Source organism: Homo sapiens, chromosome 15 (assembly GCF_000001405.40).
Source record: "Homo sapiens chromosome 15, GRCh38.p14 Primary Assembly".
In the NCBI taxonomy this organism is placed as follows: domain Eukaryota; kingdom Metazoa; phylum Chordata; class Mammalia; order Primates; family Hominidae; genus Homo; species Homo sapiens.
Genome location: NC_000015.10, coordinates 40,452,001 through 40,469,319, shown reverse-complemented (window position 1 = coordinate 40,469,319; position 17,319 = coordinate 40,452,001). Strand labels below are relative to the sequence as shown.

The window sequence follows — 17,319 nt, the reverse complement described above, 5'->3', positions numbered from 1 at the left end:
TCTGTGTTAGCAGTCAGGGTGAGGCAGGGGGAGTCCTTGGGCCTGGTACTTATCTCCATACCAATTTCTTGTCTGTAAGATAAGGACAAGCTACCACTCGCCTCAAGGGAGTCTTGTGGACACCACACTGAAGGCAGAGCTAGAAAAATCCATGGTGGTGTCTGTGCCACCAATAAATTCTGAAAAAATGTTCCTGCCCACATGCACCATGCCTTAGCAAAATGCAGAAGTGGAGGCGGGGCGGGGGGGTGCTGTGGCTCCCAGGAACCTCTATGGCCTTAGAGCTGCCCCACCTGGAACATGGTCAACACTGAGGCTTCCAGGCTGGGACCAGGGCTGGGCTGAAGCAGGGGTCAGCTGGCCGCAGACCCTTGGCCCCATGATGTGGCCTTCCTCAGCAAGCAAGAAGCACCAGCTGCAAGACACTGAGGCCCTAGGACAGTGCTGGCCAGTTACCCAAGGTGATGAGGAGGGATGCTTTTTTTTTCTTTTCTGAGACAGGATCTCACTCTGTCACCCAGGCTGCAGTGGTATGATCACGGCTCACTGCAGCCTCGTGCTCTTGGGATCAAGCAATCCTCCTACCTTAGCCTCCTGACTGAGACTATAGGCATGCACTGACATGCCGGGCTAATTTTTAAATTTTTCGAGAGACATGGTCTATGTTGCCTAGGCTGGTCTTAAACTCCTAGGCTCAAGTAACCCTCCTGCCTCTGCCTCCCAAAGCACTGGGATTACAGGCAGGAGCCACTGCATGAGGCCAGTGATAAGAAGGTATCTTTGCCATGTACCTACTTGGGGACCAATTTCCAGGTCACTGGTCAGGTGAGGGCTGGCAACTGAAGTATTTCACACAGACCTAAGCAGGCAGCTGTGGCCACCATGAAATCAAGAAGTCAACTCCAAGTTCCCAGTCCCTCTGTCTCCTTCCCTCACTCTCTTTTCCCTCTGCTTCCCTGCCCTCTTTGCTCATTGGCCTTGGTGAGCATCCATGCCACAGGGGTTAAGAGGGACCTCTGAAATAAGAATAGTGGGTCTCTCCACACCCACACACCAAAAGATGACAGGACACACAGGAAACGATCCTTTTCTAAATCAATACAATTTCTCAAATTTATTTTTTTCTTAAAGAAGTACTTCTAATCTCTGTCAAAAGGGAGGTGAGGAAAGGTCCTTCCTCCCTTGTAAACACTGAAATACAGATCTGGGAAACCAGGATCAACACACACAAAAAGTGCATTTTACAAAATATCAACTAAAATATATTTTACATGGATTATGCTTCCATTGAAATTCTACCAGCTGCATTTTCAGGTTCGAAAAAATATTTCCACATCTAAGAGATTTCAAAAGCATTTAAGTTCGGGGCAGCCAAGACCCTACCTCCTGGGAGGAGGGCCTTCATCTCCTTTCCTGCTAGGTGAGGCTGGGCTCCTTGGCAGCAAGGGCCCAGAATGAGCAGGCTCCAAGGCTGGCTCTGCAGAGCCCCCACTGCCACTCTGCCAACCTCATTTACTGCCCCATCCTCCCAGACAGACACCTTCCTCCAAACAGCTTATTCAATATAAGGAGATCCAAGTCCCTTCCCTTCAGGTTTGGGATCAGGCTTCCCAAGCATAAATTCACCTCTGAAGCCTCCAGGCCTCACCCAAACCCAATGACCAATCAGGAGCAACTCATCTACTAAGGGACAGGGCATGGCAAGTTGGGGGAGCCCTCAGGGTTCATTTCCACCTCCCTCTGCAGCCCCTGCCCAGCTGTCCTCACCCAGTGCCACCTCCTAAGCCTGCTGGGTTCATCTGCCCTTCCTCCCTAAGGGAAGACCCAGGGCTGCAGTTCTCAGCCCCAGCCCCTGCCCCCAGGGGTATGCCCTTGTGGAAGTGCTCAGCTAGCAGGTTCCCAGCACCAGGCCCAAGCCACACTGCACTCCACTCCCTCTCCCACCATACTCCTCTTTGGTACAGATAGGAAATAACCAGGCTGCTCCAGCCCCCTCACAGAGTCTCAGGGCCAGGGCCAAGGCCTAGTCTCCACAAGGACAACAGGGGACTGAGCCTGTTAGTCTACTCTGGGGAGCAGCATGAGGTGAGAACAGGGCCTCTGGGCAACAGGAACAAACTGAAAATGCAAGTCCTTAGCTCCTAGAGCAAGTGGCTGCAGCTCAGCAGGTCCGTGGACTGATACAGTGTTGATTCTTGCTAGGATGTAAATTAGTGCAATCTACAAAAGACTAGGGAAAGGGTGGCAGGGCAAGGGGAGCCACAGCACTCCTTTGGTTTGATTTCAGGTGGGTGTGGCTTGAAGAATCACGTGTGAAGTTCTGCAAGAGGTTTCCTGGAACCTCCATGTGTAAGGCAAGAGGAAAAATCTTCAACAAATCAGGTAGCAATTTTCCTTGCCCCCTGCCCCCAACCCTCTCCCAGCACCCATCTTCCCTCCCAGATATGACAAACCCCACAATCATCAGTTAACTTTCTGGGAAGCCAGACCCGCTGGGTGGCCGTCTCTGGGAGGTGGACAGGAGACTCCCACAAGTGGGCCACACCCATGACTGTGAGAGGTGGGTCAACTTGTCCCAGCACCAGTTGCTACTGCAGGGCAAAGGAGGAAAGCCAGAGAAAAGGCCTCAAGTCTAGGAAGAGGAAGTCAATGCTCTGGAAGCCAGACTCTGGCTCTCTATGCCTCAAAGGAACAAGCTCAGAGCTGTGCTGGGATCTAGGAAAGCCTGGTCCCAGGCTGAAGGGGAAGCGGCGGGTCACAGTGGGTGAGGTAAAGCTGGCCCCCACTCCCCCTTTGAGGGCAAGGGGGAGGCTACAGAAGGGCCTGTTGGGTCTGGTTCCTGAAAGACCTTGCCCCTCCTTCCCGCCCCCACCCTCCTAGGGCCCCATTTCCCTCAGGCTTGGCCCAGCCTCAGAGAAGACTACTTTTCGGAAATCTCCACCCAGGGGAACCACAGAAGGTACCTTGGGCCAAGCTGAGAGTTCTGATGCTTTTCTTATACCCTGGCCTCCCCAGCTCCCTCCCCTGGAGCCCAGAACCCACAGGGGCCCCTGCCCTCCCCCCCAAGAAAACCACAGGCCAGCAAACTTAGGCCTCTGTGGCCCCCTAACCAAGTGCTGTGCTTCAAGCAGTGCCCCCTACCCCGAGCCCCACTTGCCCATGGGTAGCCCCAGCATGGGCATGAGGAGGCTACTGGGGGTTCTTAAGGATGCGCCCGTGGCGGAAGTCATAGACATGGCGGCAAAGGAACACCAGCTCAGGGTCCGTGTCCTCTGGCACTGTGCGGTGGGGTGGGGTGGAATAGTCTGCAGAGGGGGGAACCAGTGCTGTCTTTCGGCTGGGGAGGCCTTCACCTCGGCGCTTGGCCATGGCACAGAACCTGTAGAGAGATACCATTCACTGTCTTTACTCCAGCCACTTTTGCAGGAAGACCAATTCCTTCCCTACCCTACCCTACCCGACCCAGAGAGCTAGGCTATCCTAGCTCCCCAAGGGGTGGTACTGTCTCCACCCATCCCAGGGATGATGTCTGCTCTGCCAACCACCAGGCTATCTTCTCTGTCACTGGAGAACCACACTTGCCAGGGCCTCTCTCCATTTGCCTGCCAATTCGCCTAAATTTTTTCCAAGAGCAGTAATGTTACCCCCCAACTCTGCTCCAACCATTCTACCTCAGTGTGGCAACACAATTTTTCTTCTTTCTTCCAAAAAATATCAGATGGTAGAGGCAAGCAATAGGGAAGTAAGTTCTGGGAGATTAGGCTCAGTGAGTAAGATCAGGTAGAGAGCAGAATGAGATCCTCTCGGGGAATTCCAAGCAGCCCCAAATATGCCTGGGGAGCCTGAGGGAAGAGGCCAGCCAGAGGGTGCAGGGAACCACCTACCTGCAGTACTCGGCAAAAGTCAGCACATAGCACTTCTCCTCAATGCAGGCCACACTGTTCTGGTCCTGATGTCGCGATGCAAACACTTCATTCTGCAAGGGCTCAAAGGGAGACAGGTGGAGGTTGTTACCAGGGCTGGAAAGCACCTCATTCCCAGAGCAAGGCAGACATTAACCCCTCTGCTGGGCCTGCTGACCTGAGATGACTCCAGCAAGCTTCCCTGGAAATTCAGCCTAAGTATGCCTCACCTACTGCCTCCAGGCATTCCTCCTGAGTCCCTTCTAGGTCCCCCCCTTCTCCAGAATAGCCAGGTATCTGCTCTAGCCCCTGATTGTCACTGACCTCCCAAACCCCAGCCCTGCCTAGCGTAGGAGAGGGGAAATGTTCTTCATCTTTCCAGTTAGATGGAAAGTCCCTGCAAGGGAAAGTGAAATAAAAGGTGAGCCCAGGGCACACACAGATGGCAGTCACCTCTTTTAGCACACAGCTTGGTGGAGAGCCTATGGGGTGTTAGGAGGAGTCTTTCCTCCCCTCCCCTCCCCTACTACAGAAAATACCAAAAGTGACCAGGTATGCAGCTCCACCTCACCTTTCCTGTTTCCAGGGGAACACATCCACTTGCTCCCATTGGCACCTGCTACCTCAAGGGTTCCCTTTCTGTTCCTCTTTTTAAGACAAAGGTTATTATTCCCTTTGAAACATGAATTGGGGCAGTGTTGGGAAAAGAGAATAAATCCTGGGCCCTTTCCCAGGTTCTCTGGAGTCCAAAGTGACAAGCGCAGGGATTTGACTACAGCCCATGGCTGCCCTCCCCCTACCACGTCTTAGTGCCATAACCTTTCCCTCTGTCTCTCCTGCCCTCCCTGACCCATCTGCCAGGCAGCTCACCTCGTGCATGCTGGGACTGCGGCCTCCCTGTAAGTGCTCAGGTCTGTAATACCACAGGAGGCTCATCATCAGCTCTCCTGGAAGGACAACACAGTGGTTATGGCTTGAACTGGCAACCTGAGTTACTTAGACAGGCAGAGAGGCTGGCTGGCTGCCCTGGAGGTTCATCCAACCTCAATCCTGCAGGCTCCGGCAACCCATGTCCCCTGCCCCAGGCCAAGCATTCAGAGGCCTGGAATGCTGTTAGGCATGGAGGGAGAAGGGGGAGAAGGCACTGACAGGTGAGGTGGGGGGACAGGTGCCCAGGCTCTGCTGGCTGGAAAGGTTAATGAGCTGATCCAACCCAAGCCACAAGGTCACCCACAGCCCTCGGCAGCAGAGAGACCCCAGCCGAGTGGAAGGCAGACTCTGTGCCAGGAACACGGGGAGACTCACGCCAGGTCAAACTCCAGGCAGGGGCCAATCTGGGGACTACAGTTCTGCTGAAGGCAGCTGCCCCTTGGGTCCCCAGCCAGAGGGAGAGGTACCTGACTCGGGGTTCTCCCAGAGGGCAGAGATCTTGGCCACATAAGGTGTGGAGGTCTTTCGTGGGCCTGATTTGAGAAGGACGGTGTCCCGGACTCGGATTGTCTCCCCATGCCGCTCTACCGCCTGGTAGCTCTTTCGGATGGCTGGCTCCGGCTCATCCTAGGCAACAAACCAATGACACAAATAGGCTTGCAGAGCCACACTCAGAGTAAGGACAGAGAGAGGGAATGACATCCTTTCCACGATTTCCTCAAGATAGTCAAACCACTACCTTGGTTTTGTCAAACCACTATCCTTTTTTGGATGGGGCTGGGGAATTCTCATGGTTGGAGAAAGGATGAGAAAAGGGAATAGGGGTGGAAAAGTGGCCTGAAGCTTCTGGGGCTGAGCTCTGACCACCATACCCGACAGCTGACTCTCACTCCAAGACCCCCAGTGCTGGGTAAGTGCTCATGCTTCCTAATGGAACAAGTCTCGGTCTGAACCCTTAAACCACTGTTATAAGGGGCACAGCCTTTGACAAATTATTTAAAGTATTGCTAAGCCTCAGCTTCCACATCTGTAAAATGGGATTAATTATAGGAAGATGGGATATATACCACATAGGGTAGTGGTGAGGATTAAAGGGCATAATACTTACAAAATGCTTAGCTCAGTTCTGGCATCTAAGAAGTGCTCAATAAATTTTATGTATTTATGTATTTATTTATTTTTAGAGACAGGGTCTCACTCTGTCACCCAGGCTGGAATGCAGTGGTGCAACCATAGTTCACTGCAGCCTCAACCTCCTGGACTCAAGTGATCCTCCTGCCTCAGACTCTCAAGTAGCTGGGACTACAGATGCATGCTACCATGCCTGGCTAATTAAAAAAATTTTTTTTCTGTAGACAGGATCTTGCTATGTCGACCAGGTTGGTCTTGAACTCCTGAGCTCAAACAATCCTCTAGCATCAGCCTCTGAAAGCTCTGGGATTATATGCATGAGCCACCTTGCCCAGCCTCAATAAATTTTAGTTAATATTCTTTTTGTTTTTAATTAATTAATTTTAAAAGCCAGGGTCTCTCTGTCACCCAGACTGGAGTGCAGTGGTGCAATCAGCTCACTGCAGCCTTGAACTCCTGGACCTAAGCAATCCTCCCACTTCAGCCTCCTGGTGCACACCACCATGCCTGGCTAACTAATGTTTTTACTTTGTAGAGATGAGGTCTATATTGCTCAGGCTCGTCTTGAACTCCTGGCCTCATGCGATCTTACCACTTCCACCACCTAAAGTACTGGGATTACAGATGTGAGCCACCGCACTTGGCCTCTTTTCATCATCCGAGATGTTCTCTGTGTCACTAATTTTCTCTGCCCATTCCAACGCCCCCTATATAGACTTATCCAGAAAAGTTCTCCATTGAAAGTCCTCCACTTTACAATCCAGGGTGTAAGGGACAAAGTGAGCAGGGAGGGGAGGGGAAGACACTCACCGAGATGGCAGCCACCAGCTATGACTGTGTGTCTCCTGACCTCCCTGGGGTGTCTGGTACAGGATCAGTAGGGGGCTAGGGAAGCAAGCTGGGTGGGCCAGCATGACTGGTTCCTGGGGTACAAGTAAACTGGAGTCCCTTGTCAGCTCTCAGAGTAGCTAGAACCAGGTGCTTCTAGCACCTACCTCACTGCAGGTCATGTGTCCCCACTGCCTCCCTCCCTCTCGTCATCAGCTAAGAGCTAGCACTTACCAAGACATACACAGCCTTCTCACACGCAGCCCCAACAGGTACCCAGCCATTAGTGCGGCGGCGACGGCGGCGGCGAGGGCGTGGGCGCTGGACACGTGGCTGCTTGGGGTGGCTAGGCCTGCGGGCAGCCTTGCTCCTTGCAGTGTGCCTGCAGCTGGAGCCTGTGCGCAGACCTGACTTAGAACCGCTGGGAGGTTTGGCGCTCTGAGGGCACGCACGGGCTACTGTCTGGGGCTCCGAGGTGGGTGTCTGAAGATGGGGGACGGGCTCTGCTGCAGGTGGCACACTGGGTACAGGGCACCCCAGGAGTGGGTGGGCGGGTGAGGCTGGGTGGCCAGCTTCCGGGAGAGGAAATTCCAACTGGCCCAGGGATCTGCAGCCTTCTAGGAAAGGGAGAGAGTGGTCAGGACAGGACAAGCAGTGACCCCCATCACCCATCTGCTTTCAGAGCCTGCTCCTGTCTTAATTCTAACTGTGCAACCAAAGGCCACTGAGGTGGCCGATGGGATCAGAGGCCTTTTTATGGTGGACTGTCAGAGTGACTCTCTAAGGGGACAGGGGTGTTTCCTGATCTTGGAGATTGGCCATCTCCCCTTTTAGTCTGAAAGAGAGGTGGTTGGAACATCCTTTTTAACTCCGAACTTTTTTTTTTTTTGAGACAGAGTCTCGCTCTGTTGCCCAGGCTAGAGTGCAGTGGTGCTATCTTGGCTCACTGCAACCTCCGCCTCTCGGGTTCAAGCATTTCTCCTGCCTCAGCCTCCTGAGTAGCTGGGATTACAGGTGCCCATCACCACACCCAGCTAATTTTTTTGTATGTTTAGTAGAGATAGGGTTTCACCATGTTAGACAGGCTGGTCTCAACCTACTGAGCTCAGGCAATCTGCCCGCCTCAGCCTCCCAAAGTGCTAGGATTACAGGCATGAGCCACCGCGCCTGGCCCTGATATTAATTTTCTAAGGCTTTCATAATGCTTGGGAATAGGGGTTCTAGAATCAGCCTGGGTTCTGCCACTTACTAGCCATGTGACTTCAGGCAAGTCACTCTGCCCCTCAGAGCAACTGGCTGGTTTTCTTACGAACACATTAACTCATTTCATCCTTACAAAAACCCTGTGAGATAGGTATCATTACACCCATTTTATAGTTAAGAAAACTGAGACACAGAGCAGTTACTGACTCGCCCATAGTCACATGGCTAGGAAAGTGGGGGAGAACATTTCACTCCAGGCAGTCTGGCTTCGGAGTCTGTGCTCAATTACATGCCAAGCAGCCTCCCATATGTAAAGCACTCAGAACAGTGCCTGGTACATGGTGTTTACTGGTGTCCTTATTATTAGGGAGAGGGGATAAGGGTCTAGACTTGGGGAATGGCACAAAAAAAGAAGGAAAACCCCAAGCAGCAGCCTGTTCTCATGTCATAAGAACTCTAACTCAAGCCACAACCTGAAACAACCAGTCTGGCCAGGGCCAACTGGTCTATAAAGTTGTTTTATAGACCCCTACAAGAAAGGATGTCAGGGGAAGGGAGATCTGGAAGGTCCAGCCCTCACCTCCCCAGCAGCAGGGCAGACCTGCTGGCCAGCATGTCTCATTTCCACCCAGGAGGCAGGCAGGGAGCCTGAAGAGGCAGGTGAGGATACCTCTGCCAGTTTAGGGAAGAGAAATGATTCTGGGAGTGTCTCAACAGCCGGAGCATGGGCCTCTCAGGTGTCTGGGTCTTGTCAGGCAGGCAGACACCAAAGCTGTGGGCCCTGATCGCATTCCATCCATGTCAGGGAACTCTGCTTGTCTGTTCTCATGGTGCACCCTCTCTATCCACACCCAGCAAAGTGATGCTCAGTCTGGGCACTTCTCTTTCAATGCCTCTATAGCCAGGGCAAAGCTGCCCTGTGCAGTAGGTACCACCTACTGAGCCTGGTACCTACCACCTTTCCCATGAATGCTGAACTTGGCCAGCATGCAGAGAGTACTGGTTTCTAGAAACTAGGGAATTCTAGCTTTCCTCAAGGAGGGTAGAAGGGCCGTGAGAACAATTTGGTAAAAGTCCTAATTCCAATATCTAACCTGCTCTTCAGAGTCTAAGAACGGGTATCCCAATGAGGAGAGAAGAGAGGCCTTCCTGTGGCCTGTACCACTGCAATGCTACCTAACTGCCAGGCCAAGAATCTCCAAAGGTAGCCTGGGCAGAGCAAGGCTGTCCAGAGCTATACGGGCCCTGTTCTTGGGAATGCTCCTCGGCTTGGGGCACAGACTACGGGAGTTCTCACTTCTGAAAGCCCCCTACCTTCCAGTTAGCAGCCAGACCCCAAGGGAGACCCCTGCTCAGATCAACAGCCCAACCTCCTGGGATGCCATGTCTCCGAGACTCCCCAGTACATCTTGGGCCCAGGAAGCCTCACCTGCTGCAAAAGGCATTTTGTATGGGCAGCCGCCACAGGTAGTGCCAGCGTGGGTAACAGACAGGGGCAACACTCCGCAGATGCTGTAGCCATTCACTCCAGTGTCCTCGCTAGAGCAGTAGCGAGAGGAGCCCCAGGGAGGGTGCTGGAAAGGGGTGCCTGAGGGCACTGAGCTCGGAGCTAAGAGGAGCCCCTCCTCGTGAGGTGCAGCCACTGGGGACAGCTTGCCCTCAGGAAGCATGGGGCAGGGCGAGTAGCCCCCACACTGCAGCCCCTCTTGGCCACAGTACAGGTAGAAGCTGCCTAGTGCAGTGAGCTCAGGCCCAACACACAGGCCATTGTAGTCGGCGGGGTTGCCAGGCATCGGCAGCGGCGACAGCTGAGGTGTGGGGAAAGAGGGCTGATGCAGTTCCTGCTTAGGGGCAGGTGACTCCTCGCCTGGGCGCCCAGGCTCCGGCTTCAGAGCCGCCTGTCCACCCATCAGCAGGGGCAGGTGAGGGCGCAGCCCCAAAGGGCTCTCCAGAGCCTTGCTCAGGGGCTGATGAGATGGCTGGACGGATGGCCCACAAGGAGTTGCAGATGGCCATGGTTCATCAGGGCAGCCTTGCCAGCCAGGTGGGCCTGCAGCCTCCCCAGAGCTGGCCCCCTGCCAAGCCTTGGGATAGTTCTTGCCATTGACCTTGGGCCACTTTGGCCTCGGGGCCTTGGGTGCTGGGGGCTCAGTGGAGCGCCCATCTACTTCTGCATGGGCACGAGGCAGCCGCAGGGGTAGCTCCCGCTCCTGGCTCAGTTTTAGGAAAGCAGCTGCGTTCAGGCTAGCCAGTCTCTTGGGAGCTGGGTCTCCATCTCGGCGGGGACCTTCATCGGGTGCTGGCTCTGGAGACAGGTCCCGACTTCCTCCTCCAAGGTCCCCCAGCCGGGGCCGCTTCTTGGAGGAGGACCAGCCCCCAGTAGCACGATCACGGTCACGGCTGCGGTGGGGATCCCCTGCTCGACTGCGGCGGGTGCCTGCCAGGCTGCTGGTGTCCTCTCGCTCCAGCAGCAGGTTATTGAGAGCTTCAGCATTGAGGGAGGCCAGGCGCCGCTTGCGGGGCTGGGCAAGGCCAGGGTCTTCACTGGATGGGGCCGGGCTGGGGGGCTTGGGCAGGTCAGGCGGTAGCTCATCAGCCTCATCTGCACTCCGGGGACCGGCCACATTCTCCAGGCGAGTCAGCAGCACTTTGCAGGCCTTGGGCTTCTCAGGAACCAATGGGCGCTTACGAAGTGGGTAATTCTTGCGGCGCCCTGTGAGGTGACCTGGGCTCTCGGGCATGCCTGGCTCCACACCCTCAACCCCCTGCTCCATGTTGCTGTCTTCCATCTGCAGGGGCTCTCGGCGGCCAGTGAGGCCCGAACTCAGCATGGGAAGGGACTTTCTCCGAGTGTGTGTCATGGAGTACTTCCAACCTGCAGGACAGAAGGTGGGCAATGAGAGAAGCCCTCTCTGGCCTGCTCCTGCCTGCTTTCTCTCCCACTGCAGCCTACCCAGCCCCAGGTGCAGTGATCCTGGCCTACAACTACCCTGTCTCCAGTATGGATTTTCCTGGGACTCCCTTTCCAGAGTGTGAAGGGGCAGTGGAATCAAGCTACCAGCAGCTGTGCAAGGACTGGTTCCTCCTCTTTCCTTTTAGCCTAGGGTATCTCTGAACTAAGCCCCTGAAGAGCCTAGGGAGCAAGGCAGACCCCAGGGACAGGGGATAGGAGGAGCTGGTGGCAAAGCTCTTTGTTCTCTCCCCCTGTCCTTCTCTCACTAGATATTCATCACAGGATAGGAAGAGGCTCTGAAGACAGAGCCTCCCAAGATGGGGGACTGGGTGGTAGAAGTCCATTTATTCTTTCTTCTTTTTTTCTTTTTTTGAGAGACGGAGTCTCGCTGGAGTGCATTGGTGAGATCTTGGCTCACTGCAAGCTCCGCCTCCCAGGTTCACGCCATTCTCCTGCCTCAGCCTCTCGGGTAGCTGGGACTACAGGTGCCCGCCACCACGCCCCGCTAAATTTTCTTTTGTATTTTTAGTAGAGAGGGGGTTTCACCGTGTTAGCCAGGGTGGTCTCGATCTCCTGACCTCGTGATCTGCCCGCCTCGGCCTCCCACAGTGCTGGGATTACAGGCGTGAGCCACTGCCCCCGGCCAGGAGTCCATCTATTCTTCCAAAAGTATAACCAAGGCATTAACAATCCCCTCCCCAAACGCAGGGCTTCTGAGGTTGGCCACAGGAGGACAAGAAGACAGACAGTGAAGAGCTGAGATGGGGACCCTGCCTGCTGGGCCATGAAGGCAAAGTTCAGTCTCTGAGGACTCCTCCCCTGGCATATAAAGCAAGACTGCCACAACCTGGGTCTAGCTGGAAAAGCTCTATCAAGGGTGAAGGCCTGGCTTTGAGGGGCCCATGGTGGAGAGGTCTCAGCTTTGAGGGGCCCATGGTGGAGAGGTCTCAGCTTTGAGGGGCCCATGGTGGAGAAGTCTCATTTGAACTTTGGTTCAAATTCCAGGCAAGAGCAGCCCAAAGGGTGCCAGTACCCAGGGCAAGGGTAACAGTAAGGCCAGGATCAGCATATTCCTGGGGGTAGAGAAAACCCAGGGACGGTGCGTAGACCTGCCATACAGCTTTAAACCCCTGAAGGCCACAAACAGTTGGGAAAAGAAAGTATCAAAGAGAAGCACTAACACAGGAGACAAATGAGCTGCCTTGTTAGTCGTGCTCGGTTCTCCCTCTTTGTAGGCAGGGGCAGGATGCAAGGAGGTGGGGGAAGCCCAGAGCCCCTGACAGAAAATGCATATGACCAGGCATCATCCCCTAACTTTGCTTGGCAAAACACTCCAACATACACCTGCGGCAGCCTGGGCCCCAGTTCTGAGTGAGAGGCCAGAGCTGGCTGTGCACTGGAAGCTGGCATGGCCAAGACAATGAAGAACTGCAGAGGGCGGTGGTCAGAGACTACGGAGCTGTTCACTTCCTACCATTCAACCCAAAGCACAGGGGCTGGCAAGTAAGGTGCCAGACAAGTTCTGTCCCTCACCAGGTACTCCTGCAACCCATCCCCACCCAGCGGGCCCAGGTTTTTCAGCTTAATTTCCCCACTGCTATTGCTGTTCACACTCATTCTACAGAGGAACTGAGAGCAGTCCCTGCTGTGCCAGGATTTAACCCTGAAAGTCTCAAGCCTGAGGGCTCCCAGGGATTCCTGAATCTTTCCCTGTTAGCTCCCATGGCCTTGGGCCAGTGGGTGGGGTCACTGGACACCTCCTCTCCAGAGATATGCTGCATTAATTGAGAAAGAGTGCTCAGAAAACCAGGCTGAGGGTGGTGTGGGCAACCTTCACCCCTGAGAAAGGACACGGAAAACTGGAAAGGAGAGGCAGCGTGCCAGGCTTTGCTCTGGCCACGTGCGGGGACTTGCCACTGCTCAGAGACCAGGCCCCGGGCAAGACAGAGTCACAGAAGGCAAACCCATTCATTCCTGAAGCACAGGTGGAGAGCTCCTAAAAAATCCCAGGCATCTGCTAGGCTCCGTAAGTCTCTTTCCTGCTTCTAATCAGGGTGACCACCCGTCCCTGTCTGCTCAGCAGGCTTATTGGCAATGCCGGGCGTGGTGGCTCATGCCCATAATCCCCACACTTTGAGAGGCCCAGGCGGATGGATCATGATGTCAGGAGATCAAGACCATCCTGGCTAATACAGTGAAACCCTGTCTCTAATAAAAATACAAAAAAAAAAATTTAGCCAGGCGTGCTGGCATGAGCCCGTAGTCCCAGCTACTTGGGAGGCTGAAGCAGGAGAATCACTTGAACCCAGGAGGTGGAGGTTGCAGTGAGCCAAGATCGTGCCACTGCACTCCAGCCTGGGCAACAGAGTGAGACTCCATCTCAAAACAACAACAACAACAACAACATCATCCCATTTCTTATAACCCACAGGCCCTTCTCTCATATCCAGGCACCCCTGTGCTGGAGGTGGAGGAGCATGCAACGAGAAGCAGCAGAAGCACATCAGTATCTCCTAGGGAGCCCAGGTCCAGCCCTCCCCAACTCCCAAATGGCCTGGAGATGATGGATAAGTGAACAGACCATGCATTTGAGCACGGGCCAAAGCCCCTCAACAGGCCCCAAGTTACCAGAGGGGCTAGGCCTGGGAACGGCTGGGAGCCAAGGTGGAGATCACCTGGGCTTGTCGTCTTTGAGGATAAGGACACAGTACAGAGTAAGGAGAAGGCGGCTGGGAAAGACAGCACAGGGAGGTGCTGTCAGGCCTGGCTACTGGAAGCGTTCTTAGCAGGGGGATGATTGGCCACCCCTGACCTCCAGCTGGCTGGGAGACTGGCTGCATGGGCAGATGGTCCTCAGATCTTTGGATAGTTGTCCCCACTCAGTCTTCCCCTCTCAACACACAGAAGTCCCAAGCAGAGAGAGGTGGGAAGGGAGTCAGTGCCTTGACTACACAGCTTCCACTTTCAGGAGTCTGAGCCCAGAACCTTTGAGAATCTGTTCCCTGTGGACTAATCTTGCTCTTTAACCTCTCATTCAGCTTTCCAGTCCCTCAGGGACACCCACTACTCCCCTGGGGGGTAGGGTGCTGACGATCCCAGGAAGCGTCTGAATCACAGGGTGCGAGTCACATTTCCAAATCCAGCAGAACAGCCTCCTGCTAGACTCCCTAAAATCTGCCAAATCCCCTGTCACTCGCTAAAAACACCCAAGGCCATCAAAAGCACGTCGCAAAATAGCTCCTAGCTTTCCTGTGGTGCAAAGTCCAGCCACTCGGCATCTTAAGGAGAGGCTGGGGTCTCTGCTGCCTGCCTCTCGCTGCACTCCATTCTGGGGAGAGCATGTGTGAGTCATGCTTTGAAGTCAGATGAAGAAACAAGAAGCTCGGCTGCAACTTTTTCCCTGGGGTGGGGCTGGGTGGAGGGGCTACAAGCCTGCCAGGGCCCCTCCAAACCACAAGGGATGGCCCAGCTACAGGGCTGGTTGGGGAGAGGGGATCCCAGCAAAGTGGTAGGCTTGGTTCCCCTCTCCCAGCCCCACCAATCCTCCTGCTGCCCCTCCCAATTACGCACTATCCACCCAGAAACTTTCAACCACTGCTAGGGCACAAGGTGCGCTGGGTTCTCTCAGCACTATCCCCTCCTCTCTGGGAAGCTCTGTCCTCCCAGACACGGGTGGTCCATGCCCTCTTGGGAAGGTCTCTAGGAGGGATTCCCAGGACACTTTCCTGACACTAAAAGATGTCAAGAAAGCTCTCACTGGAGAAAACCAGTCTGATTGTCTCCAGCTCTGACACAGCTGCCAGGAAGGATAGTGGCTGGCTGGTGGACATCCAGGCCAAAGACCCAGAGAACCACAGGTTGAATCCCAAATCCTCAGAAGTGTACTCTAAAGACAGTAAACAGGCCACCTTCACCTCAGGGGCATCAGGATCTCAAAATCGAGGGGGAGGTCAGGCCCAGCTAAACTGTCATAGTAGGGTCTGAGTGTAGTCATCTCCACAGAAGCAGAAAGGGACAGACAGATGCCCTGCTCTGGCCCTCAAGCTGCAGCAGCACCATACAGCAACCCCACCAGCACAAGCAGAGCACAACCAAGGTGCTTCATGCCGGGCTGAAGGTTCAAGGGAGAGTCAGAGGCCCAGGGGAGCACGGGGTGCTGGCACTGCTCTGGGGAAACAAGGGTGAGGGCCTGGAAGGGCAGGTCACAGCCCAGATCACTCCCACAAGCAGAGGCTGCCTGGGGCAGGAAGTGGCCCTCAGTTGTGGTTGCTGCTCTCCCCTTACCCACCCAGCTCTGGGTTGCACCCCGCACACCATCCTGAGGGTTTCAGGACTACACTTTAAATTTTGCTTTTCAGGCTTCTTTGGTTTTTCTTTTTTGTTGTTTTTTGTTTTTGTCTGAGACAGGGTCTTGCTTTGTTGCTCAGGCTGGAGTGCAGTGGCGCAATCATGGATCATGGTAGCCTCGAACTCCCAGACTCAAGTGATCCTTCCACCTCAGCCTCCCCAGTAACTGAGACTATAAGCGCGTGACACCATGCCCAGGTAATTTGGTAGAGACAGGCTGCAGGGGGTTGGGGGGGGCCGGGGGTAGAGGGCCTCACTATGTTGTCCAGGCTGGTCTCAAACTCCTAGGCTCACGTAATCCTTCCACCTTGGCCTCCCACAGTGCTGGGATTACAGGCATGAGCCACCATACCTAGCCCGGTTTATTTTTAATGAGAGGGAGGGATTCAGGGGAGCCTTAGATAAGGGTAGATCAGGTCATCTGGGTGAGGGCTGGGAAGGACCCTGCCCCATTAGAAGCCACCTCCTTCCAATTACAGCTAAAACCACAACTGGAGCTGAGTTAAGCATTGTCCTCCTCTGCATTCTCTCTTGGAATAACCCCTCCCATCCATGAAAGGAATAAAACACTTGTCATGAGCACTGAATTTCTTGAATCTTCTATCAGAGAAGAAATGTGGCAAGAGCACAAAACTAGGCTCCTTTTCACTTAAAGTTAGTTGCTGTTACTTTATGGAGAAACAGGTGAAGCTGCTGAAATTCTTATGGTAAAGCCAGGTAAAGACACAGCTGGTAGTGAATCTCTTAAAGAGCTGGTACAGCAGAAAGAACCAAAGCATTGAGTCAGACCTAGATTTAAATGCTCTGTCCCTCCTGAGCAATGTATTTAGCTTTTCCAAACTCCAGATCCCTCATCTAAGATGGATATACCAAAAAGAGTCTTCCTTAGGAGCGGTGGTAAGCAGAGGCAGGCAGGCCAACCTCCCCCATCCTTCCAACCCGACAGAGGAGGGCAGCTGGCCCTGGCTGGCCATTCCCCACAGCAGGAGCCCGGGACAGATTCCTCCTACCCCAGTGAGAAATCTGAAAACCCAAGCTTGCACCTGAACTTTGCTCTGCCACTATTCCACTAAAAACACCTAAGTGCCCACCCCAAGGAAAGATAATGATGATGACACTCCTTTTCCCTTGCAGGACCCAGTGTGGGGTGAGTTGTGGGGGGTTCAGTTTACAACTCAGCAAGAGGGCCGGGTGTAGTCATCTCCATAGAAGCAGAAAGGGACAGACAGATGCCCTGCTCTGGCCCTCAAGCTGCAGCAGCACCATACAGCAACCCCACCAGCACGAGCAGAGCACAACCAAGGTGCTTCACGCCGGGCTGAAGGTTCAAGGGAGAGTCAGAGGCCCAGGGGAGCACGGGGTGCTGGCACTGCTCTGGGGAAACAAGGGTGAGGGCCTGGAAGGGCAGGTCACAGCCCAGATCACTCCCACAAGCAGAGGCTGCCTGGGACAGGAAGTGGCCCTCAGTTGTGGGCCACAACTGAGCAAGAGGGCCGGGGCAGAAACTATCCCAACAGACCCTGAACAACAGCTCTGTGTCTCTGAGAAATACTCAACTCTACAGTGAAAGGCCAAGTTCCTCAGATGCTAACGGCAGGGCTAGACCCACAACGTGAGGTCAGAAGGTGTGCGTCCTGCCTGTCTGTGCCACCTGAATGAGGCTTCAGTGGAGGCACCCATGCAGAGCAGAAGTCTCAGCTCCACAGCACAAAGTTGCAAGGAGCACTGTCCTCAAAGAGAGAGAGAGAGCAGGGGCCTCAGCCACCAGCCCTGCCTCCTCAGTGCCCATACAGCCTCACTTGCTGCGGGCACTCAATTCATTCTGTAACCAGACTGGGAGCCTAAAAACACCTGGGCAAGAAGCACGAAGTGCAGCTGAAAGGAATTGGCCTGATCCATCTGGACACAGGCTTGCTTTTAGACTGCCCTCGGGTCTGGTGGCAGGGGCTGAGGACAAGAGAAACAAGAGTATACCTCTCATATCTAGAAGTTGCTATACAACACACAGATCCCTGAGTGAGGAGA

At 54.3% G+C, this 17,319-nt stretch overlaps 1 protein-coding gene and 1 long non-coding RNA gene across 17 annotated transcripts in view, besides 4 other annotated features; one reads left to right on the top strand and one right to left on the bottom strand.

Moving 5' to 3' along the window:
- The window catches only part of BAHD1 (bromo adjacent homology domain containing 1), a 30,785-nt gene continuing 14,549 nt past the window's right edge, over nt 1,084-17,319 (bottom strand). For 7 of the 16 annotated variants that reach the window (XM_047432244.1, XM_011521369.4, XM_047432245.1 and 4 more), the window contains 6 exons: nt 9,424-10,869; nt 7,026-7,408; nt 5,300-5,459; nt 4,773-4,849; nt 3,885-3,985; nt 1,084-3,379 (listed from right to left, as the gene is read on the bottom strand). In XM_047432244.1, the coding sequence (XP_047288200.1) occupies nt 3,190-3,379; nt 3,885-3,985; nt 4,773-4,849; nt 5,300-5,459; nt 7,026-7,408; nt 9,424-10,855 (2,343 nt within the window). In that variant the 5' untranslated portion in view covers nt 10,856-10,869 and the 3' untranslated portion in view covers nt 1,084-3,189. The remainder of the gene's footprint in view (nt 3,380-3,884; nt 3,986-4,772; nt 4,850-5,299; nt 5,460-7,025; nt 7,409-9,423; nt 10,870-17,319) is intronic. The other 9 variants (NM_001301132.2, XM_047432246.1, XM_011521367.4 and 6 more) reach the window with 4 other exon arrangements.
- Nucleotides 4,609-5,108: an enhancer, noted in NCBI's record as "H3K4me1 hESC enhancer chr15:40756411-40756910 (GRCh37/hg19 assembly coordinates)". NCBI's record gives its function as "activates a minimal SCP1, AML or CMV promoter by ChIP-STARR-seq in primed H9 embryonic stem cells {active_cell/tissue: H9 hESC(primed)}" and the evidence as "EXISTENCE:reporter gene assay evidence [ECO:0000049][PMID:30033119]".
- Nucleotides 5,109-5,610: an enhancer, noted in NCBI's record as "H3K4me1 hESC enhancer chr15:40755909-40756410 (GRCh37/hg19 assembly coordinates)". NCBI's record gives its function as "activates a minimal SCP1, AML or CMV promoter by ChIP-STARR-seq in primed H9 embryonic stem cells {active_cell/tissue: H9 hESC(primed)}" and the evidence as "EXISTENCE:reporter gene assay evidence [ECO:0000049][PMID:30033119]".
- Nucleotides 15,450-15,873, top strand: LOC124903473 (uncharacterized). The gene is made up of 2 exons (XR_007064598.1): nt 15,450-15,492; nt 15,774-15,873. It is a non-coding gene; the product is annotated as an uncharacterized LOC124903473 (long non-coding RNA).
- Nucleotides 16,410-16,459: an enhancer, noted in NCBI's record as "active region_9244". NCBI's record gives its function as "activates an Ori minimal core promoter by ATAC-STARR-seq in GM12878 lymphoblastoid cells {active_cell/tissue: GM12878}" and the evidence as "EXISTENCE:reporter gene assay evidence [ECO:0000049][PMID:35858748]".
- Nucleotides 16,490-16,839: an enhancer, noted in NCBI's record as "active region_9243". NCBI's record gives its function as "activates an Ori minimal core promoter by ATAC-STARR-seq in GM12878 lymphoblastoid cells {active_cell/tissue: GM12878}" and the evidence as "EXISTENCE:reporter gene assay evidence [ECO:0000049][PMID:35858748]".